This window comes from Homo sapiens, chromosome 15 (genome assembly GCF_000001405.40).
Source record: "Homo sapiens chromosome 15, GRCh38.p14 Primary Assembly".
Taxonomy (NCBI): Eukaryota; Metazoa; Chordata; class Mammalia; order Primates; family Hominidae; genus Homo; species Homo sapiens.
In genome coordinates, this window is record NC_000015.10 from 95,427,805 (window position 1) to 95,453,582 (window position 25,778).

The 25,778-nt window shown below is 37.7% G+C and overlaps 1 long non-coding RNA gene across 2 annotated transcripts in view; it reads left to right on the forward strand.

Annotated features, from left to right (window-relative positions):
* The first annotated feature begins 5,288 nt into the window (after positions 1–5,288).
* Positions 5,289–25,778, forward strand: part of LINC00924 (long intergenic non-protein coding RNA 924) — a 74,755-nt gene continuing 54,265 nt past the window's right edge. For both annotated transcript variants that reach the window (NR_027132.1, NR_027133.1), the window contains exons 1-2: positions 5,289–5,375; positions 23,991–24,132. This is a non-coding gene — a long non-coding RNA (long intergenic non-protein coding RNA 924). The remainder of the gene's footprint in view (positions 5,376–23,990; positions 24,133–25,778) is intronic.

A 25,778-nucleotide genomic window follows, 5' to 3' on the forward strand; every position in this document is an offset into this window, starting at 1 on the left:
TACATTGTATTAGGTATTATGAGTAATGTAAAGATGATATAGTATATATGAGAATGTGCATAGGTTTATATCCAAATACCTACATCATTTTATGTAAAGGACTTGTGCATTTGTGGATTTTGGTATCTTCAGGGAGTTCTAGAACCAATCTTCTGCTGATACCAAGGAATAACTTGGTATCAGCAGACAAACACAAACACATGCCACATAAATAATATGATACACACACACACACACACACACACACACACACACACAGTAAAATATTATTCAGCCTTAAAAAGGAAAAAAAATCTTCCATTATGACAACTCAGATGAATCTGGAGAACGTTATGCTAAGTGATATACGCCAGACACAGAAAACAAATACTGCATGACCTTTTTTATGTGAGGAATCTAAAAAAAGTTAAATTTATAATAACAGAGAGTAGAAAGGTGGTTGGAGCTGGGGAATAGGGAAAAGCGAGATGTTAGTAAAAGGGTACAAACATTAGTATAAAGATAAATAAGTTCTGGGAAACTAATGTACAGCATGTGACTATCCATAATAGATAATCATAACGTATTGTGTAGTTAAAATTTGTTAAGAGGCCAGATGCAGTGGCTTACGCCTGTAATCCCAGCACTTTGGGAAGCCAAGGCAGCCAGATCACCTGATGTCAGGAGTTCGAGATCAGCCTGGCCAACATGCTCTGTCACCCAGGCTGGAGTGTAGTGGCACAATCTTGGCTCACTGCAATCTCTGCCTCCCGGGTTCAAATGATTCTCCTGCCTCAGCCTCCTGAGTAGCTGAGATTACAGGCACCCACCAACACACCTGGCTAATTTTTATGTTTTTAGTAGAGACAGGGTTTCACCGTGTTGGCCAAGTTGGTCTCAAACTCCTGACATCAAGTGATCTGTCTGCCTTGGCCTCCCAAAAATGCTTGGATTACAGGCTCCATGGTATATTTTTTCCCATTAAAATTTTTTTTCAATCTACATGTTGTTTTATATTGAAAGTGCGTCTCTCTTACAAAGGATATATCTCTGAGTCTTTAAAAAACATTCATTCTGAAAATCCTCAAATTTTTACATGGAATCTGTTTCACCCATTTACATTTAATTTACTTACCTATACATATGTAAGTATAATATTTTGCTACTGGTTTCTTCTTTGTTCTATTTTTCTGTTGTGTTTTCTTTTTTCCTCTTGTTTCCTTTTGAGGTCGATAGAGTAATTTTCAATATTCCATTCTATCTCATCTACTGCCTTTTTAACTATATCTCTTTGCATTATTACTTTGGTGGTTGCTCTAGAGATTACAGTGTAGTGTACATTTCAATTTATCACAGTCTTTCTTGACTTAGCTTAATACTATTCTGTATCCAATGAAATAACCTTATAATAGTATAATTTCATTTACATTTTCTCCCACCTTTTGTGCTATTTTATTACACCATTTACTTATGCATATTATAAGCCCCATAATACTTTATGATTTTTTTCTTTAACCAATCTTTTGAATAACTTTTGACTTTTAAAAGTTTAAGAAAACAAAGAAAGCAGTCTATGTTTACCATTTCCTTGAGGCCCAGAGGCCTATGAAACCACAGACAGTGAAGCTGTGTGATGGTGTGATCCCAGTGAGATATCAGGACACAGAGATTCTGACAACCCTGGGACTGTGAGGCTGTGAAATCTTCCTCCCTCTACTCCCAGCCTCTGCGTAATCATCTAAATTCCCCTTTAAGTGGCTTCGCTGAGAGGATTCTCTTTGCCTTTGGGGCTCCCGCAGATCCACTGCCAAGGCATCCCATGAATTCATCAGAATGTCTGGCTTGTTTCTTCTAGTCTAAGCACAGACTGTTCTTTTCTGACAGCTTTGCTCATCAGCCCACCTGTCCCCAACTTTTCGCAACTGACCACTGGCTTTGAATGTGTCCTGTATTTTTTACTTACTTAGAAAAGGCTTGTCTTTCTGAAGTATAGTTCTTTTGAATTTCTTTGTGTCCACAGATTCTGATGGCATTAAAGAAAAGTAAGATTTTTGTGTTGTTGTTCAACTGGTGAGATATTTCATTGGAAATTAAAGTGTTCATTTCCTTCTATATCCCAAGAGAAAGGCTCTAGTATTCTCCTTCCTTCCTTCCTTCCTTCCTTCCTTCCCTCCTTCCTCCCTTCCTTCCTTCCTTCCATCCTTGCTTCTTTCCTTGGTCCTTCCTTCCTTTCTTTATTTTCCTTCTTTCCTTCCTTCCTTCCTTCTTTCCTTGGTCCTTCCTTTCCTTCCTTCCTTCCTTCCTTCCTTTCCTTCCTTTCTTCCTTCCTATATATTTATTTCCCACACCCCATCTTTCCATAGTCCAAAGTCTACCAATCCTCTAAAGACAACTTTAAGATTCTTCCCTCTGTCAGATTGTTTCTCACAAATACACGCACATGCCCAGCTCAGATGACCTTCTTCCTCTTCTGACATGGTCTCATTCACTCCTGTGGCATTTCAAAGACTGTGTGGTTAGTTGTTCTTTTCTGTATGCAATACATGCATATTAAGAGCTTCTGTCTAACAAGAGTCCTTCCTTGAATGTAAGGACTATAACTTTTGCTTGTTGGTGTTGTTTTATTTTTAAAATTTCATCACAGCTCAAAAACCAGTAGAGTGGCCACCAGTGAGTTTATTGGAAGATAATAGTGAACATAATGATGACAACAATTTTCTTCTTTGAAATGGTAGAAAATAAGAGATAGGAAGTTGTCTTTTCCACATAATCAATCTTCTTTGGTACAATAAATGTAATGAAGCTCTCTCCAAATACACATACACTTACTGTGTATACAGTATGTTAACATAAACATCAGTATCTATAAACATAAAGTCAGGATGTCAGACTCTGCCAAACATAAATATACTCAAATGTATTGATAACCTTATGTGCTATGACCATTTGTTTTATTCTGTGTTGGGCCCAAAGGTTTAGTATAGGCTTTAAGAATTTACAGATTATGGTAAATAAGAGCATTCAGTTATCATGAAAGAACCGAATTAAATTCAAGTAACTTAATCATCATTGTAAGACACACTAAGAAAATTTTCGGTGATGAGAAATTCAAGAAAATATTTAAAACAGAGTTCAATATGTCTTCCTCTGAAAGCAAATCTCTGCTTCTCAGATGTCCCTCCTTTTAGTATCTGTTAAATTGTCATGATTGTTCTTCCACTTCAGAACTACCATGAACATATTTTTTTGTGAGAATGGATGTTCATGAGTGATGACTACAAACTAGAACAATAACTTATATTTCTAAAATGTACAATTATATAAGCATTATTTGAGAAATGTAAAGCATCATTTGTGTAGAAAGAGTACCTAAAGAAAAATTATATAGAAATGCTGAGTAAAAATTATTTATCACAACACAGGGGGCAGCATGCAGAGAAAATGGCTTCAGTCAACCCACAGGCGAGGTTACGGCCTAGGATGGGCACTGTGGCAAGGTTTCTGACAGAATTTATTATCCAGGCTTCTGCTGATTACTTTTCATGTCCTGAATACAAGTCTTTTTAAACCACCTTAAGGTGGAGTGGTCTCAGATCTCGGCTCTGACCCTGCAGATTCACCAGACTCTGTTTCTGCTCATCCCCTCCTGTAGTCCCGTTTCCCCAGCTCTGTTTGGTCCCCATAGAGGCTGCCTTATGTCACCATTCCCTCACCTCTATCTCTCTCCCTTTGGATCTCCAGGTCAACAAGAGCCAAGAGAAAAATAATTCATAAGTAACTTAAAGAAGCCAACTGTCTTAATTAATTTGGCTTACAGTGTCTTCTTCTGAAGAAGGTTAAAGAACTTTAATTAGGGTTTTGCAAATCAATCTCCCAAAATTAATTCACCTCACTTAAAATAAATAAAAGTCATATTTGTTGTGTTTGTCTTCCGATTATATTGTGCAATAATGCATAAGGACAATTATTCATAATTGTGTCTCCAGCACCTCACACAAGTCATGGCTAAATACTGGCTAAATTAACCAGGAGAAAAAGGAGAAGGCAAGAACTTTTTGATAAATCAATTATAAATTAACAACTTGGACTTAAAATTGCTTTAGTCTGAATTCTAGAGCAAATAAATCATGTATTTTAATTCAAAACATTTCCTGATGGTTTTGGAAGCCTATCACTCAACTTTTCACAAACCTTTTCCGATCTTGGTTGAATCTCTCAGTGAGTTGTCTTGGCTCATATGGGAATTATCCTGTGCTCTTTAAATACAAATCTGCAGGAATTATGTGGACTGAATACTAACTGGTATTCTGGGATGCCAAAATACATTTGTCTCTAGAAATTTTCTCCTTAGGGGCTGCCAGATGTTTTCTTCCTCTACAGGAATTTATTTTCATCCATAGACCCTGTCAGAGGGGGTAACTTAGTCATCCATGTGTGTTCTCGGAAACACAAAGCCCAATTCAAACTGGTTAAATGATCACAGAAATGTCTAGAAGTGGGTAGGCTTCAAAGTTAGCCAGACTGAATTCTCCAATGATGTTATTAAGCACTTAGTTTTCCTCTTACCTTTCTGCTCAGATTTCTGTAGAATCAGCTCTATCCATGATTTCAAAATGGCAGTCAGCAACTCTGGAAGAAACATACTTTTTCTTTTACCCTGAGAAAAAGGCAGAGAGAATACTGCATTTGAATTGATTCAAAAGCAAGAGAGAGGTTAAGAAGTGAAAGAGTATGAGTAAATCTTTTGAGGAGTTTGCTGTAATGGGAAAAGAGAAACCCAGTGGTAATTGCAGGAAGATATGAGGCCAAGGAGAAATAAAAGAGGGAGTTAGATATTACAATTATGATGATAATGATAATAATTTTTCCAGTGGGTTGGGAAAGAAATAAAAACGTGTTTGAGCATGATTTCCTATCTATTCACTATTAGTGTCTCTTTTTCTGTGAACTACCTGTTCTTTGCCTATTTTAGTTAGTTGTCTTCATTCACTCTTGATACTAAATATTTTTTATACATATTATCATTTTTTTCCAAAATTGTCACTTGTTTTTAGTTGGTATTTTTCTGAAGAAAAAGTTGAAGGATGAAATCAAATGGTTATTCTCACAGAGGATTTAAACCTCGTCTAAACCCAATAAAATTTTTAAAAATATTCTAATGCTAAAATTTAGGATTGCAACATGTAGTGCAAAATACCATTCTAATAATATCTTATGTCTTGGAACACTTAAAAATAGCTACGATTTGTCAAGGTTATAACTAGTGCCAGGCATTGTGCTTAAAAGCTGTATGCATTATCTTATTTAATTCTTACAGTCCTGTGAATGAAACATTGTGACCTCAAGTTTACAGATGAAGACAATAAACTTCAGAGAGTTCAAGTATATCACTCAAGGTTAGTCATTAATAACTAGGAATAATGAATAATCATGAATAATCTTGAACTATCCTTCTTCCTATGCCTGTACTTGCCATTCAGTTCATTCCATTTGTTCTTGCCATGTAAGGATTTGTTCAGTTTCTTCTACTGATTACTGTGTTTCTTTTTCCCCTTCCTTTCTTCCTCCTTCATTTTTTTTTCTATAAATCTTGGTTTAAATAAAGTCAGTTTTTGTAGTTAGCATCTGAGAGAGGAAAAGTCAAAAGAAAAGTGTTGGCACATGACATTGTAAACTCAGTCCAGATTTGAACCCTGGTCTAATTCCAGACCACTACTCTAAACCCTTGAAGTGTGACTTCCAAAATCAATGATCATTAGAGTTTAATCTGACCTTGGAAGTCTTCCACTGTTACTTCCTTAAGAAGCAGTATAGGATGGTTATTAAAAGTTTGGAGTTCAATCCTGTCTGTGTCATTTATTAGCGATTTTCTTGGCTTTATAGTTTATATCCATAAGATACAAAGAATATAATCAACCTCAAAGGATGACTGATTATTGGGATAGATGAGATGGTACAGATAGCAGTGCCTGGCATTTAGTAAGTACTCAGCAATTACCAGCTGTTATTTTTTTCTTCCCAGCTGATACCCAGATCTCTTTGTCTGTGGGTCTAAGTGATTACCTACAGTTAAGATAAGTATTTCCTGTTAAAGGGAATGCATTGTCTGCTATAATGGTCCATTTTATCTTTGGAAAGTTCCAGTTATTTGAACCTTCTTCCAAACAGACAGCTAAAAGTTGCCCTTCTCAAAATAATTGTTAACAATCCTTTTTAGGATGGCATACAACAGACAACCAACATTTTGAAGATTATTATTATATTTATTTAAGTTGTCTTCTAACCAAGAAAAAAATTTACAATGGTTATCTTCTGTGTGCCCAAGCTCATCAATGACCCCCAAAGTTCTGAATAGAACCCTCTTCTACAAGTGAGACTGGAAGAGCCCACAGATAGGCAGGATTATACTCCTCCTTCCTCTGGGTCATCTTTATTTGGCCAAGTCCCTTTTGCTTACTTATATAGTTATCCAGCTGACACATACACTACTTAGAAGTCAAATCATGCTATTTTTGTGCAACTGAGGTTTTGAACCCAGATGTAGAATTTATATTTGGCCAACAAACTCAGGCATCTGTAGTAAGTGACTATTTCCAAGATGTTATAATTTCCCTATTCTTACAATACAATTAATTCCTCAAAAATAATCAGAAATAAGTTTATGAACTGGCATTTCATAATTGAGACAATAAAAGTATTTCTTAATAGCTTTTTGAAAAGGATTTTAATTCCAACTATTTCTTTAAGGATCATCAATGTTCAGATACTACATATAAAAAGATATCATCATTTGATTATATCTACACACTCAAGTTTCAGAAAACAGCTTGATTTTACTTCTTATTTCTTCCTATTAGGCCAATGAGTAATCTTGGACTATCCTTCTTCCTATGCCTGTGCTTGCCATTCAATTCATTCCATTTGGTATTGCCATGTAAGGATTTGCTCAATTTCTTCTTTTGATTACTATCTTTTCACTTTTCCCCCTTCCTTCCTTCCTTCCTTCCTTCCTTCCTTCCTTCCTCCTTCCCTCCTTCCCTCCCCCCTTCCTTCCATCCATCCTTCCTTTCCTTCCTTCTTTTTCTTCTTCCTTCATTTTTTTCTCTAAATCTTTGTTTAAGTAAAGTCAGTTTTTATAGTTATATGGGACAATAAGCATCTGAGAGAGGAAAACTCAAAGAAAGGTGCCGGCATATGACATTGTAAACTCGGCCCAAGCCACTGCCTAAATAGATTAAAACTCACCCTCTTGACACCAGTTAACAATAAGCTATATTTCCTAATCTTCTTATTACTTTTTAAAATATTTACATCCCATTCCTTTCCTACCAAATATAGTTTTAGATGCTCACAATAAAAGAATAATGCAATCAGACTGAACCATTGTTGTCAAGTAAAAATAAAATCAAGGAATGGAAAAGGAAGTTATTCAAAGATACACATACCAATGGCACCAATAACATTAATGACTGCCTTTCCTTCTTTCTCAAACATCTCCACTTAGCATACTGGAATTCTCATTTTATGACCAGAAAATTCTTTATCTTCTGTTTTTCAGAAAATTCTCTTCTTTCCTTCACTTTCTTCAGTTATTCCCAAATGAGCATGCACATTAAGCTCATGGGGAGAGATTGAAAAAAATGCTAATGTCCTGCAGTTTCCATCCACCCAATTAAGTCAGGTTTTGTAGAAACAGAACGGATCTTGAGGACACTGTCCCCTCTGCATTCTCTTAAAAAAAAAAAAGATTTTTTTTTTTCTCATTTTCAAATTCTTCAGTGGCAGAATTGTGGTCACTCTTCTTTTTACCATCATCCCTCCAGGCTCTTCTAAAATTTCCGGAACTGACTCTTCACCCTCTCCTTTTTTTTTTTTTTTTTTTTCCTACAGATATCCTGACCTTGCACCCTAATTCACTAAAAATTTTGGAACCTGGATTATAATTTCACTTTCCACATCCCTACTATCATTATAATTCTAGAAAATTCAGTGTGGTCAATACAAGACCAGGTTCTGGAACCTCTGTTTCAGCCCACCTCTATCATTGCTAATTGTGTTGCCATGGGAAAATTATTTAAGCTCTCTTTGCTATAAAGTAGAGATGATACTAGGAGTAGCAGCCTTAAATGCTAGGAATCAAAGAGTACAGATAAAACTCTTAGAACACTGATGCATAGTAAACACCTTATATGTGCTACTTAGTATTCCTGGCAATTTTTATATCCATGAGAATGAACCCATCTAGCTCCAAAGGTTCTTAGTTTCTTGATCTCTTAATCGCCAGTTCACCTTTTCCTCTAATTTGTCACGGTTGGCTAATCCCAGGGTCACACCCTAAGCCTCAGTATCAGCAGGTCCTGTTCCACCTCCTAAATCTCAAATTCAAAAATCTTGCTCTCCAAACACAAATTGTGTTTTTCCAGTTGACTTTGCTCAGCAACCTCCAGCACTATAATTTTCCCATATCCCTAAGACCTCTGTTTCAGTGATCTTGCACTATTGATCTATCAACTCTTCTTGTTTTATTTTATCTTGCATTCCATGGCCTTCAAGTGTGATCGTCTCCTTGCAAATATCACTGTTTCCCTCTCTCCTGTCTCCTATTCTCTCAGTCAGGTAGTAGAATCTCCGTTCTAGGTAAACCAACCAGGAAGCCCCTTTTTCTTTCTTTCAACCCCTTTAAGGAGATTTTCCTGGAGGAAATTTCACACATAGCTTGAATGGCTGCCAGTTAAGTACACAATCACGAAATTCAGCCAGGCACTGGGCACTGCTCAGGCCTTCTCTGCATGTATCTGGCTCTTCCTCTTCTCTGAATGATTACTTCATTTCTTTCCTTTCTCCTTAAAACTCCTACCTTGCTGGGTGTGGTGGCTCGTGCCTGTAATCCCAGTACTTTGGGAGGCTGAGGCAGGCGGATCACTTGAGGTCAGGAGTTCAAGACCAGCATGGCCAAAATGATGAAACTCCCTCTTTACTAAAAATACAAAAACTAAGCTGGATGTGGCTTAGTTTTGGTGGGCGCCTGTAATCCCAGCTACTCGTGAGGCTGAGGCAGGAGAATGGCTTGAACCAGGGAGGCAGAGCTTACAGTAAGCTGAAATCGCTCCACTGCACTCCACTCTGGGAGACAGAGGAAGACTTAGTCTCAAAAAAAAAAAAACAAACAACTTCCTACCTCTGTTCATCCTGACTCTTAGTTGATGGCCTCACCTCACACTTCATTGAGGAAACATTCTCGTTTTCTGGGCATTCTCTCACCTACCAACAAGCGAGTGCAATTTATGCCTGTCTTCACTCATGCTTTTCTTCTCCTCTCCTATTATGAAGTGTGGGTGAGTGTGGGGGCTGTGTCTATGCCTACGAAAGACAAATTATTCTCCTAGTAGCAAGAGCTTCTCTTCTGATTATCACTCTTCTGTCCTACCTCTACAATTTCTCCCTCTTTATTTAATCATTTCCATCAGCATAAAAAGTTTCTTCATTTTCCCCATCTTAAAAAATAAAGCCTTGCATTGATGTCTCCCTTTTAGTTACTGCTTCTCTCTGCACGTCCTCATGGTCAATCTTGAAATAATTTTTCATTTCTATCGTCTCCACTTTTTTACCTTCCATTCTCTCATTGGTGTGTTTTGTGTACATTCAGTGTTCAGTGTGTACATGTTACTGGATGCAAGTATTCAACACGTATTGCTTGTCAGGTACTGCAGAAAGAGGCTTGTATGAATCTAATTTAACTCCACTACAACCTGATATGGTAGGAACCACATTTATCCACATTTTCCGAATAGGAACCCCCAGATTTAGAAAGTCAGGTAAATTGTCCGAAGTTACGTAATTAGTGGCAAAATCAGGCCTCAGCCCAATATTTGCTTAACTCTAAAGGCATATTCTTAAGTGCTTTTTTATTAAGTTTGTTCTTAATCCTCCTGCCAGCTTAAAACATCTACCGTCAAAGCCAAAAGATGGATATAGCAGACGTTAGCTCTTGGAAAGCTCCTGGTAATGGGAGGGACAAAAGTACATGGCCTTTTCCTTTCTAAGGCTCTCAATTTGGTGAAATAAATTTATATGGAGCATGAAATAAATTGTGTCTAAGCCTCAGTATAACTTTATGTTCAAACATTCTCTGTTGTGCCTGTAAATTTCTGTAGATAAGTGGTGAGAAAAAGATTTGCTGTCCTTGAAACTTGGAAGAAGATACAGAATAATCATCTTAAAAATGCCCAATCTAATCTTTGTTTTCCTGAAAAATAAGGCATAGTGTAGAAATAAAAAGGAAAACTTAAATACCCTTATACATAGAAAGTAGTTGGTTAATTGTATTTTTATAAAAAATACTATCCCCATATTTGTTTTTCATAGCCACCACATTTGTTGCTATGGGTTATTCAGTGCATACCATGCTTTGCTTGGCCTGTTACCATCAACGTCCTATCTGAATTATCATCCCTTCACTAATCAATTACCTCTTACTTTTCACAAATATAGATCTAATCATATTACTTCCCGGCCAGAAACCTCCCCTATTTCTCTAGCTGTTATAAGATACAATATAGTTTTCTATAAACAGCATATGAAGTGTTTACTGAGCTAGTTTCCAACAAATCTTCCATTCATATCTCCCTTCACTTAACACCTTTTTTTTCCTTCTTTCTCATTCTGGTCATATATATCACGTAACCTGTAGATAATAGTTGCAAGTTTTTAATCCAATCTATCATTATCAAACTTTATAAATATGTGGGCATGTATTCTTGGATACGTTTTGCAAGCTCTCTAAGCTTTAGAAATATTCTCCGCTATAAAATTGGAATAATAATAATATTATTTACCTTGAGGGATTCTGTGAGCATTCGACATTTATTGGACCATACATATTTTCATACCTACACACATACACATATATTTACTATCCATATGCATCCAAACATATTTACAGAAGGCATATGCCCATTAAGGGACCTATAAAAAATAGCAGCAACTCTTATTAATTTTGTCACAGAAATCATTTCCTTTCTTGTAATTAGTGCGTCACAATACTCATCACTGTATATCTCCTCCATAAAGCTTGTCACATGTCCCCTCTGGATCTTCCCAGCTCTTCCTATTTATGGCCGTGATAAGGCATTTTCTCCTTGGTTGTGACTGCTAGCTTATGTAACTAACTGTCCCACTAACATAGCCAGAATCTGATCCCCGGAAGGAAAGTGGCAAGAGTGTTTCCCTCGATCAGATTCGCAGAGTGCTTACACTAAAGAGTTTTACGTTCCTCAAAGTCATCAGGAAAAGTGTGAATTAGCTGGCCCTGGAGCACCTGAGACAGACAAGCTGTCTACTCTTGCTCAGCTTTCTGTAAAAACAGGAAAACTGCCTTGTGGAAAGGTGAGTGTCCCCCTCTCCAGGAAGCCCTCTGTCTGCATGCCACCCTCCTTCATTTTGCCACACCCTGAGCTGCTTTTCTCCTGAGCTCCTCCACTTGTGTGTATTTCTCATTAAGACCCTCTCTCTCCCTCTCTCTCCCTCTCTCTCCCTCTCTCTCCCTCTCTCTCCTTCTCTCACTCTGCCTCCTTTTCTTTTTTTTTTTTCCTTTTTTATATTCCTCCACCCCCCCACTCTTTCTGTCAGTCTTGTCCGTTTCTATACCATTTCCATGGTAAGGTGTTCCCTGTCTCCTGTCCAGCCTGCGCTGGTCTGGCCACCTCCCTCTGCTCACTCACGGTCTCTTGCTAGTAGTGGTCTAAGGATGATGATCTAATTTAGAATTCTATGCTTTAGAAAAGAAACAGGATCGCTGGGTGTGGTGGTGCACACCTGCAGTCCCAGCTACTCAGGAAGCTGAGGCATGAGAATCACTTGAACCTGGGAAGCAGAGGCTGCAGTGAGCCAAGATCACACTGCTGCACTCCAGCCTGGGTGACAGAGCAAGATTCTGTCTCAAAAAAAAAAAAAAAAAAACGAGAAAGAAAATTAAAAAAAAAAAAGAAACGGTAAGAAAAGAGTACAATTTTTTTTCTCTCCCAGCACATCATAATTATAGCAAGTTATTTCTGTTAATCAGCTCACAGAACACAAACAAGTGGTTCAGGAGAGGCAAGGTGCGTTTGGCCATGAAAGGCCAGGGTTCACAAGGTATCCAGAGAGGGCTTTGTCAGGTCACACCATCAGACACATAACAGGGCAATTTCTCTTTCTTAGCCTTAACCCTCAGCTGGGAGTTAGTGTAGGGAAGGCCTTGCTCTTCACAAACACTCCAGGATAAGGCGATAAGAAGATTACAAGTAAAGCCTCTCTTTAGCTATTCCACATCTCCTGTCAGACAGAGCAAGTTAAATTACAGTGCAGGCCACAAATGCATTGATCATCCACTAGGCTTGTACTACCCAGGATTTTAAAGATCCATGCCAAGGATAAGTGACGTCATCCAGCAAAGTTTATTTTAGCAAGGAGGGTAAGCCAAGTGCAAGGAGGTGAGGTTCTGGGAGACGGCCCTAACTCTCCAATGCTGAGTTCAATTCATATGTAATCTTCATCAGTGAATATTTCCTTACAGCCCATGAGAGGTGTTGAGAGAACACATGGATGATACAGCCTGTGCTCTGAAATGACTTACATATGTCTCTCTCAGCCTCCAGCCCCTCCCTCATCTTATAAATCCAGTCTCAAAACACAGAATACATCCCTAAAAATGGCATATTTCCTACTTAGAATTACTTTGTAAGTGTTCATGATGAAGCATGGCCTAAGTCATATGAAATTTTAGATCCTCTATTCTTTATGCATAAAATGTAAAGTTTCTCTGTTCGGACACAATGTTCTCTTATAATAAGCTTCAGTTATCCCCTTTCAGCCCATAAAACACATCGTGTACTTTAACAAAGATATAAAATTCTTTAAATGATTTTGATAGTCCATTCATACAAAGAAGATAGGCCTTTTTGAGGCTATAACAAGAAAAAAAAAGATAAATCATTAGAAACACTTAAAAATTCTGTACATGACTCTCTTCTTTATTAAAAAGACCCATTGTAAATTGGAAAGTTCCGAAGTCTTTGTGGTGAGGGAGAATGAATTATAATGACATCACTGGGTCGTGAACTAGGCCCACTGGCTACTTTCCAGAATGAAATTGACTAGGAGAGATCAGATGAGCCCATTCGTAGCACAAGACATCTGGGAGGCAGCCAGGGAATCGAGGTTCAAGCCCCCTATTTAGGACACACTTCCTCTTCCTCTTCATCATCAAATACGATCGTGATTTCCCAGGCAAGGCAGCTAGCATAGCAATGCATTTCAATTCATATTCTAAAGAACACCCAAAAAGTTCTTTGTACTCATTCCTCAGTGAAAGACCTCATGAAAAATATTAACATGTCAACATCTGGCTGACACCTTTGGTACATTTTCATCATGTTGCTGATGGGAAGCATTTTGCCTTCAAATAAGCATAATTTGCCAGTCTTTTCCATCTCCTTTTTTGTCTCTCTCCCAGAGTAATAAATGGTGTCTGAAGCCCAAGAGAAACTCATTTCTGTTAACAGATCATTTGTAAACCTTTAAGGGCAGCTAGTGAGAAAGGGGCATTTTTTTTCTTCTGTCTTAACTTTCCTGGTTGTCTTTCTAAATGCAAAATGACACCTCATTCAACGCTTTCTGGTGTCATCTTAATCTCCCTTATTTTACACTTTCTACCTTTTTGATATTTGCTATAGACTGCATGGAGGCTTTTTACCTAATACTGTAATACCTATTATCTGAGGCATTTAGGTATATAGGCTCTTGCCAGCTAAGAATAATGCAGATCAATTGGATGTCAGCAGCCCAATAAAGTCAGATAGTTTATATATATATATATATATATATATTTTTTTTTCAGGGCGGAAAAAAAAGCTATTTCCCCACCTGACCTTACAGCCAGCACATTTCAATATTAATATATTTTATGCATGCATATGATAACGTTTTACTTTCCTTATGGTTCTGTGGGGAAGTCTCACTTCCCTCTGCAGAGGATTATTACCTATTCTGAGGGATTATGATTATAGATACTTACTAAGACAAGAATAATTGACCATAAAAAACCTTTTATATTCCCACAATTATTTTTGCATTGACTAAAAGTGTCAAGAAAATCTGATTTTATTAGCAGGCCTCTAATTTTGCCTTCATTTAATTTTTTATCTGGCTTTCTCCCCCCAATATGTTTTTAGTCTGAGATATCTGGCAGTTGTACAAAAGAACAATTTGTTACAGAACCTTTACCGAATGGAAGTTCTATAATCCAAGCATAACATGAAGCATCAAATAAAATAAAAATGTATGAGATCAGTAAAGGGGGCATGCTCCAAGGTAAGGAACCGATCTAGAGCCTAGAAAAAAAGAAGTTTAAATCAAAATGTGACTGCTCGGCTATGAAGTAAGTCTGTGGAACAAAGGGTCAAATGCAGTTTTGACCTTTCATTCCCCTCCACCCACCAATAGGTCAGATCCCGTCAGCACTGAGCCTATTTCCAGTAAGGAGCAAGAAGCAGAGCTATGTGTATTAAGAAGCAGTGTGGAAAACTCTAGAGGACACTTGAGGGGAAGAAGGAGAAAATACACTTGGTCTTCCGGAAGTAGGGATGGAGTGGGCAGAAGAAGTAGAAGTGACACGGTACCCATTTGACCCTTGAAAACAAAACCAGCTCTGGTAACCTCATTTGCTTCTTTCCCCGCCTCTGTCCCTCAAATATTAGAAACAAGACAAATCCAAGATCACAAATGGATATTGTGGTTAAAGGCATGACTGCAACTGGAAAGAACTCAGGCTAAAACAAGGAGGAAAAGTGTTCCACTTCTACTACTAATTGATAGAGGATTGTTGGCAACTCCCTTCTGGCACCAACATTCTGTTGATTCTAAACGTATTCCCTTTTCAGATGACAGATGATGCAGTGGAAAGGAGAAGTGGGAGTCATATAGTATCCATTTGGCCCCTGCAAACAAAACACATCCTGGTTAGCTCCTGTATATACATAGTGGGTCTTAACTTTTCAGATTTCCCTGAAATCAACAATGAGAACCTACAAAAAGGAAGAATCACTGGAACCTTATAGTCTGTCTCAAGACACCAATGAGGCACCTACAGGCGGGCCCAGTCATCTTCCCCAAGTGATGTGAATGGAGATCGGTGGCCATTGATCACCCATTCTCAGCTTCATATCTTATTTCTTGTCTACCAACAGAGGGTATCATGGTGAAGAAACTCTCTCAGCTCTTTGAGGAATGCATGTTCATGGGAAGAGACTAATTCCTGTTCATTCCAAAGTTAACGGAGGGCCAGAATGAGGACTTCAAGAAAATAACATGTAGAGCTTGGGGGCCCCTTTGACAAAGGGAAACTGACTTCTTGCTCTCCCTCTAGATGCATGCTGGAGCCAAGAAGCTGCAGCACATTTCAGTGTTGCCATGACAGAGAAGAGGATCGTGATGAGGGGGAGTTTTGCAAGACTTGACATGTGCTTATTTGAGTTTCTAAGTGAAGTGTCCATTAAGACTGTGCCCAAGATTGGTCAAAAGAGGACATCAGACATAAGAAGTCTACTGGGAAGCCAGTCAGATTGCCCTATGAGGGTGGGGCTGCTGGGGCTGTGGTGTGAAATGTACCTGGGAAGATGATGGAGGAATCTTTTCTCTTTACCCTCCAGTGGTTTCCTTGGCCCTCAGAGTGTGCAAAGAGGACTCGGTGGTTCTTATGTTTCCACCTGAGAAAGTAGGGAGATTAAATGGGTCAGAAGGCTGCTAGGCTAATCCGGAGGGGGATAAAAACTTCTGGAGATGTCAAAGGAATGTGCAGATCTTCAGAAAAAGGTGTAGGTGGTTAAGCTCCACCAACTCAGGGAGAAAGCCTACATCATGAGTGATAGTTGCTGAAGAGAATCAGTGAAGCCAAAGACTCTGCCCCAACCTGACCCAGCAATTTAGATAAATCCTTCTTCTTTCTCCCTTGTGCTTGACATCCTCCCTTCAACACTAGAAGGTCATTCAAGGACAGGGGAAGCCAAATGTGCTTTCAATTCTTCCTGGTCTCAGTCAGACCAGGAGCGCCAGAAGAGCTTGACCAAGAACAGGGAGAAGAATGAGATGGTAGAGGAAAACTCTTTTCTCCCTTTTCTAACCCAAGCAGCTAGGGTCTAGTCTTTTCTAGAAGCCATTGGTGGAAAGGAGTAGAAGAAATTTAAAACCAATACGAGACGTTAATTTAAAAATAGGCTAAATTTAGTTTTATATCTGTGAGGGACTGGAAAGCTGTAGGATAGTGCCAAGGTATTTTTTTTTTTAATGTGAAACGGGATTCCGACATAACATGGTTGAAGGTCAGGAATGGAAAATGAAATAAAATCACAATCAACAAAATCGAACCTGTTTTGTTTCATATCCAATTTTAACTTACTCAATAAACCAGTTACAGGTTTAAGAGTTTAACTACCCTACCTGCCAATCTAACCAAAATAACTGCCTTCTGAACTGTTCAATAATTTAATATAAGCAACAGGAATATATAATTAGGTTGTTAAGGGATTATTTGCTGTATAACTAGTTGTTGATGGTTACAAAGCAAAGTGTGACTGCTTTGTCAATTTCAGTTATGTACTTGGGAAGAAAGTCCCTTGCTTCCATACAACCTTATTTATTTAGGAGCACTCATTGTCATTTCTTGCAGGTCCTTCCAATTGTCAGGTTTCATTTAAGAGGGACAATTGTAAGAACAACCTATAAATAAACACACATCACTGGTTTCATCCTCAAAATAGATAAGGAATCATACCTTGCATTATGCATTCTGCTAAGTCTTTTTTGGTACCTCAGGGAATAAAATGATAACTTGACAATTTTATCATATACAGTCATGGGCTGCATAACATCATTTCAGTCAACAATGGATTGCATAAACAACAGTGGTCATATAAGATTATAAGATTAGATTTTTACTGTACCTTTTCTGTGTTTAGATATGTTTAGATACACAAATACTTACCATTGTGTTACAATTGCATACGGTGCTGTACATGTTTATAGCCTAGGAGAAAAGGCCATACCATACAGCCTAGGTGTGTAGTCAGCTATGCCATCTACATTTGTGTAAGGACGTTCTATGATGTTCACACATCGACAAAATAGCCAACGATATGCTTCTCAGAATATATCCCTGACGTTAAGTGATGTATGATGATTTAATTGAAGGAAAGATAAACATGAGATAGATACTTCAGGGTAATTAGCAGAAGTTTGCTGTGGTCAGCAAATTCACCAGGCCATTTTCAAAACTCCAAGATATTTGGTGGAGTATAAACATGATCACCATCATAACCAAACAAGAAGCTGTCCACTTAGGTGTCTCTAAGCAATGAATTCACTGGTGTCAATTTGTTGACACTCATTTATCACATATTTCCTATTGAACACAAACCCTGAGGTCATAACCAGGAGCTACTTACATCTCCACTTCCTACCAAACCCAAGGAGGGGTCTAATTGCCTTGGCCTGTGGTCTCTGGCACCCACACCAACCTTGATTCTGAACATGAAGGCATATTTGGTTTTCCTAGTCTTTGACTTATATCAATTCAGTATTCCAAAAGAAGATCCTGCTCTTACCTACGGCACGCTAGATCTGTAGTCCTTTAGAACATTTCCTTCTCATTATTTTACCTGTATTCTTGACCCCTTCTGTCCCTAAACCATAGCCTCAAGAATGGACCATAACTAAATATGGTAAATTGCTATGGTTTTCACGGCAGAGCAGTGGATCAGTAAGAAATGTTCCTAATATCTCAAATAACCTGAAATTAATTCACTCATACAGTCATCAAATCCTGCTTCAGTTGGTCTCAATGAATAAAATACTAGTGTTTGGATACCACCTTATTTACTTCTCCCTCATCCTAGAAAACTATCGCCTGATAATGCCCATAGGTACATAGAAGATACCATACACTTATAACCAGCAGGTTTTTAAAACTTAAACAGGAATAGGGAGCCTAGAGTCCTATACTTGGGCTTTAGAGTTGGACAGATTGAGCTCTAAATCCTAGTTCTACCAATTTTCTTTTCTTTTCTTATTTTATTATTATTATTATTTTTGAGATGGAGTTTCTCTCTTGTTGCCCAGGCTGCAGTGTAATGGCGTGATCTCGGCTTACTGCAACCTCCGCCTCCCAGGTTCAAGTGATTCTCCTGTCTCAGCCTCCTGAGTAGCTGGGATTACAGGCACCCACCACTATGCCTGGCTAATTTTTGGTATTTTTTTAGTAGAGATGGGGTTTTGCCATGTTGGCCAGGCTGGTCTTGAACTCCTGACCTCAGGTGATCTACCTGCCTCGGCTTCCCAAAGTGCTGGAATTACAGGCGTGAGCCACCGCACCCGGCCTAGTTCTTCCAATTTTCAATGTGTGGACTTGGGCAAGTCACTTAAACTCTCTGCACTTTGTTTATAAAATGGGAGCAATAATGTCTTCCTGATTGGGTCGTTTCAAGGATTAATGAAATGGAATAAAGAATACATGCCTAGATTCCACAGCAACATCGTTTTTGGTCTGAATTCAGGGTCCCTCACTTACCAGGTGTGATCTGCGGGCAAGTAACAAATATTTAACTTCTCTCTCCTCCAATTTATCATCTATTAAATGAGAATGCTAATAGTAACCATGTCATTGAATTACTTTGAGTGTTAATTCAGTTAGTATTGACAAAGTGTTTACAAAGTGCCTGGCCATGGTAAATGTTCAATAAATGTAAGCCGTTGTAAATGATATTATTGTAATATAGTATCGCTTATATTACTACCCATAATAACCAAGATCATGAGGTGAATATTAACAGTCTTCTTGGCAGATTTGACTTGAAATCAACTACAGTCCACTGATTGAAGGGTGTTAAACCCAAAGGCTGAGGGACAAAGTGTCTAATGTGACCCCCTAAATGGGGACACTTTGGGAACCTTTAAAATGAATAAATCGTATTATAAATAAATAAATAAATATATATATATATATATATATATATATATATAAAGTTGAAGGTACTACAGGTAATACCAGGATTAAAGGATAAAACAGTCTCTTGTTTCTCTAGTGGTATAATGAAAGTAAAATATGTACAAAAATATCTCCAATGCAAAGCAGGAAGTAGTAAATGTCAAAGACATCCACAGATGTGGTACAATTAAAGTGCTAAGGCGGTAGAGGGTTTCCTGTATAAGGAACCAGAAAGGGTTCTGCAGAGGAAGTGGCATTTCTTGACAACTTCTAGCTTCTGTTAAAGGCCCTTCTGCTGACCACTAACCCTCTCCTCATTACCACAGGGTAAGAGTTACCCCATGCCAAGAATGCTCACTTTCCTTCCCCTGCTTGGTGAGCAAGTGCTCATCTTGTAAGACCTCATCAAGGGTTACTTCCCTGATCCCCTTTCTCCAATAAATTCGGCCCTCCTTTATTTGGGAACACATGACTTTGTACCAACGTCTCTCTCTCTTGATCTTGTAATTCATGTTAGCTTTTCTGTAGTTTTCACTGGACTGTGATTTCTGTAAGGGCGTGGACAATGCTTTGAATTCTCAGTGCCAAGAGATTTAAAATTTTTTGGAGTGAATGAACTCTGCTTTTTACAATGAAGAAATCTAAAGAAAAGAAAAAAAATTATTGCTCTCAGTGAGCAGAAGCGTGGAAGAAAGGGAGGGGGAAAGAGCTAGTTGTTTGCGATTGGCTGATGCTGTGTAATCTGATTTAATTGTCAGGATCCAAAGATTTTTAGTTGGCATTCCTATCTCCTTTTACCCTGTGGATGCTGAGATTGAGAGAAATTAAAGGCCTTGTCTAAAGCCACAGAGCTGTGAAACTGAGTAACTGGGATTTAAGCCCAGGTGGTTTCCTTCACTGCGTGATGCTCCCAAATGGAGAAATCCATCATTATGATGTTACTAGGCTGTAAAAAAGAAAACAGCCACTTGGACACAGTCTAAAGAGTCTTTTCTACCTCCCCTCAGGACCACCATGGAGTCTGATCTTTTTAATAAAATAAAATAAAATAAAATTTGCCTACCTGGAGAACGGGTAATCGATTCCTGAGGGAAGAAAACCAGTGTTTCTCTCTTTCTTATTCTGTCCCCTCTTCCTCAATCTCTCCTTCAACCTCTCTGCCTCCACTCCTCTCTCTGATATGGAAGAGTTTAACTTCCTAAAGTCATGACGATAATTGAGTCAAACCTCTGCTAGGATGTTGGTTTATCCCCTCAGGAGTCTGACCTGAGCTTCAGTTCGTAGGATAACATACAATTTAAATTTTGATTTAAATTTCCTATATAATGGGAAATAAGCCAAGCTGAAATTTTGTTTAAAAAATTGTTTTTTCAGGAAAAATCAGAGATAAATGATTTATAAGATAAAATAGACATTATTTATAATTAAGAAAAACTAGAAATAACGTCAACATTCAATAATAGAAGTTTAATAAACTATGGTAACTTATAGGATGCAATATTCTATATTTATTTAAAATGTTTCCAAAGAATATAGAAGAAATGGAGTATGGTTGTGATATATTACTAATTCAGACATCAAAATACAAAGAAAGCAAAATTTTAATTTTATAAAGCTAATATATACATAAATGTGTATATATTTGGAGAAAAATTATGAAAAGATTGGAAGATGATACACTAGAACATTAACAATGGCTAGTTCTGGTTGATTTTAGCTGGTGATTCTATAGTTTTCTAATTTTCTACAATTAACATGGAATACTTTTGCAATCAGAAAATAATTTCAGGTTTGACAAATGCTTGTTAAGCAGGTGGAATCTCATCTTGAAATTCTTCCTAGAAAAAAAATTTTTTTTTGCTGCTTCATCCCAACCATTGTTTCCAGGAAGGAAGCTCTGTTATCCTGAAGCTTATGTTTATTCACACTGCCTCACTCTTGCTCATGTCAGTCTGCATTCTAAAAAACATTCTGATACAGTTCAGTGCACCGAAAAGAATGTAAGCTTCAGAATCAGGCAAATCTGAGCTTGAGTCCATCTTTCCATATTTCTTAGCTGTGCAATCTTTGGAAAACTGTATATTCTTTGAGTTTCAGCTTCCTCATCTAATGAGAACAGAATGGGACAGCATTGGCAGAAGCCACAGAGGCCCTCAGATACAATGTAATAGTAGTCATCAACACAGGTCATTAGGTTCTCTTGCCTCTCCTTCTGTGTACCCATCCAAATTTACTCATCCTTAAGGTCTGACTCACATTTTAGTTCCTCTACAAAGTCTCCCATTACTCTCTCTGCCAAATTATGAAGTCTTCAATTTTTAAGAATGCTTTCTGTAGAACTCACTTAGCGCTCATACATAGCTTCATAAATTTAGTGAGTCCATTGGTATGTCCCCAACTAGAAGGGACAGGGGCATATCATCCACACATGGCATCCATCTCCTTCATTTATTATAAGCTTTTAATCAGCAGCTAATGATGGGGAGTTGAATCTTTTGCAGATGAGTTTTGAATGTTAAAGTACATTTTTGAATCAGAATGTAGAGGAGTAAAAACCAAAGTCTGCAATCACATTCCCTCTTCATTCACCTGGAGCAGGCTGAAAATCTGTCAGTGGCCTGTGGGTGGTACTGGTGACTAGATCTGAATTGTCAAGATAGAAGGTCACCATCCCAAGAGACAGGAGTGCTCAAAAAGCCATGGAATGGTCCTGATTCTTGTCAAACTGTGCAAAAGTGCTAAGAACATAAATTGGTGAGTACATTTGATAAGGTGAAGCAAAGTGGACGGGTCCTGCAGCTATAATTTCTTCTCCCTTGCAAGTCCGTCAGTCAAGTAGATTACTAGGAAACTAGGTTTCTATGGAATAGAAGCAGGGAAAGAGAGAGAAGGGAAGATATACCCAATCACACCTCTCTCAGTTGTATTTCTATTAGTATCCTCATTCTAAAATTATTGACATGCCACATCTAATGACCAAGTCTGAAGCTTTCAGGCCAAAAGGTATCAAATGCCTAAAATGTCATTATTTTACTTCTGAGAAGCCACTAGCTCTTTTATTCTCATACACTTGCTTATCTTGAAGTGGTGAACCACATAAATAAATATATTTTGATATTTGATCTTTTAAAACTAGACACTTAGCAATATATCTTTAATATAGCATTTTTTTCTCATAGCTTCTTTCAAGATCTTTTTCTTTAAATTAAGAAAAACATAAACTATCCTATGTATCCCTTCCTGGTGGTGTCTAGAATATACTAGGAATAAATACATAGGTAGGAATTATGGGTTAGGCTGTGGGTTGAGATCTGCTTTTTAAAAAATTTTGAAATAAGAAATCCACTAAACAATGCATGGAAGAATTTTTTTTGTTGTTACATTGTTCTCATGAATGAAAGTTTCATTGTTTGGCTTCAGCCAATTTTTTAAGAAACTTACAAATGATGATGAAGGCAAGCTTTTAAAAAACACCTTTGGTCATAAATATAAATAAGATTTTCATGCCAGAGAGTAATTGGTGCTTTGTTCATCATTTGAATAGCAAAGGAGGGAGGTTTGTTAGCTCTTTCTCATTTAATTCTATTGACCTGCCAAAATTTTACAGAACTTAGTAACATCCATTATTTCTTTTTTACATATAGTTATTGCTATCCCTTTTATGAGATCTTACTTTGTGTCATCTCACGTTCTTCCTTCCTTTTCTTTATTTGCATGTCATAAAAATGCTGAATTTGTACAACTTTCAGGTAATTATTTTTATGAGCTCACAGAAGGTTATCTTCAATGCTATCACAAAGCCTTCCAGTGGTCAATGAATCATGCAGATTATTTCATGATCCCTTGTCCAAGATTGCTACAGAGGCATAGGTCTCTTCATGAAAACACTTTTAAAAATTGGGAGCAAAAGATATTCTTTTAACATTAGTTGTTCTTTTTTCCTAAATACAAGCAGTAACCATATTGCAAAATATTTGAAAAGTAGGAAAAAAGCACAAAGAATTAATTCCACCATCTCCATAAATGTTGTTAACATTTTAATTCATATCTTTCTATTATATAAAATATATACACACATAAATGTACAGTTTGTACTCTGATTTATTCCAACTTGCATTAGAAAGGGAACGTTTTCTTTTGTCACCAAATAGTTTTCAAAATCATTTACCAATTATTTGTATAGTCATTGACTGAATAAACAGTCATTTAAAGTTCTATTGCCTTTTTAGACTATCTTGGATTTTACCTGAAAACAAAATATCTATTTTTAAAATAGAAAGACATGATTTTGTGCAGTTTAATTTGGTCCGGTTATGCACATTCTCCCCTAATGCCTGAGTCACACATAATTAAGACTCTCTGCTAAATTCAATGAGTTTAAAAAGTTTAATGAGCCTTTTCTCCAATAACAAAAGATAAGATTCAAATGAAAGAAAAACACCTTTATTCACGTGAGATGATAGTTACATGGTAACAGCAGCTGTCACTACACAGAGAGAGCCAAGAAGGGCCCTTGGTTCTGTAAAATCTGATTCACATGTGTGGACTGGAACTTCTGAATTCTAGAGCAAGAGTGAGCAAACTGGGACCGGAGAAGCAAATTCAGCCCATGGTTGCTTTGGTATCACCTGTGAGACATGAATGAATTTTACACTTGGAAATGTTTGGTTAAAGAAAAAAAATCCTAAGAATATTATTTTGTGACACATGAAAATTATATGAAATTCATATTTCAAAGTTTTCTTAGAGCCCGATCAACACTTATTTTTGTTTACAGATTGTCAATGGCTCCTTTGTCACACTAGAACAGCGGAGTTGAGTGGATGTGAAGAAAGTGGTATAGCCCACAAAGGATAGAATATTTACCCTCTGGTCTTTTACAGAAAAAGTTTGCTGACCCCTGCTCTATGTAATGAGGTTCTGAGTAGGATAGCAATAGAAAAGTCTATGCTCATTTTCTTTCAGCTCTCAATCCAAATCCCCTTCCTGTTTTCAGCAGGATTATTTGTGCCCATGAGGGAAACACGAAGGATTGTCAGTATTCATTTGCTATCAGAACTGCCTTTGAACTTCAGGGAAGCCGCCATCTTGTTTTAGTTCACTCCTCTAAAGCACAGTGTCTGCAACATGAAACACTAGTAAGTTCTTTAAACTTCTTGTTATCTTGAGACAGGGCAAGACCTTTACCCAATTTATTTAGTTATGGAGGAGGAGGATGAAAGATTGGGTCCTAAGTGTTATTCAATGGCATGACATGGTTTTCCCTGGAAGGCAGCCAGAACTGATGCTTATGAGGTGTTTGTCTGATGAACTGTACCCCTGTGACACTAAGCAGAGCCCGGAGGAGGTGGCAGTCCATCTTTGTAACTCAGGTTTGATTTACAAATCAGAAGAATGTGCAGAGCCCATGGAAACCAGACCCACCCCTAAGACAGTCTAACAAGGAAATAATGACCCCTGCTTATGAATAACCACTTGGAAGGTGGGATGATTTGGACTGTTGTTGAAGTACATTGTAACATTTTCATGAAAGCAAAATAGAGCCCAGGCAACTGCTGACTGCTTTAGTAACTGGAAGTCTGGAAAACAATTATTAGCCAGTTTTTGTGGGTTACAGAGAATCCATCTAATTAAAGGAAGCCGTGTAGTGAATGTATGGAAACTTCTAACACAGCTAACATAAACAGAAAAAAAAAGTTGGAAGGAAGAAAATACTGTGTCAAAATGTCTCCAGGATTAAATTCCAACTTCAGAAAAATAAGATGAACCCATATATTTGACAATGAAATTCTCTTATAACAGAATGTCATAATTTCAGAAAATTAGATTTACCATGAGCTATAATACTTCTTGCTATTCTACTCAACTTCAGTTTTACATCCTCTGTACAATTTCGTGAGACTCTAAGAACTGATTTTAATTTTGCTCAGAAAAATTCTATGTCTACAGAATTCTGTAGAGTGTTTGTCAGTGTTTATAAAAAGTAAAAATGTGGTCATCTGGGGTCAGTATAAAATATAATGCATGTACAAAAACATGATTGTCTTATTTGTGTTAATGCATTAATTTTAAGTAATGTTTTATTTTTTCCAATTAAAAAGCAATATGTTTATTAAAGAAAATTTTAAGGCCGGGCACGGTGGCTCATGCCTCTAATCCCAGCACTTTGGTAGGCCAAGGTGGGCGGATCACCTGAGGTCAGGAGTTCCAGACCAGCCTGACCAACATGGAGAAACCCCATCTCTAGTAAAAATACAAAATTAGCCAGGCGTGGTGGCGCATGCCTATAATCCCAGCTACTAGGGAGGCTGAGGCAGGAGGATCCCTTGAACCAGGGAAGTGGAGGTTGTGATGAGCCGAGATCATGCCATTACACTCCAGCCTGGGCAACAACAGCGAAAGTCCGTCTCAAAAAAAAAAAAAAAAAAAAAAAAGAAAATTTTGAAAATAGGGAAATTGAATGAAACGAAAGTAACCTCCATAATCCCTCCACTCTAACACAACATTACTTGAGGATTTTTCTTTCAGTCTTTCGCTTTGATATTTTCTTCACAGTGTGACTCTACTCAAAGTTAATTGTAGCTGCTTGGTTTTTTGTGGTTGTTGTTTTTCTGTTTTTGTTTTTGTTCTTGTTTTTGAGACAGAGTCTCTCTCTGTTGCCCAGGCTGGAGTGCAGTAGCATGATCTCTGCTCACTGCAGCCTCTGCCTCCTAGGTTCAAGTGATTCTCCTGCCTCAGCCTCCCAAGAAGCTGTGACTACAGGCATGTGCCACCATGCCTGGCT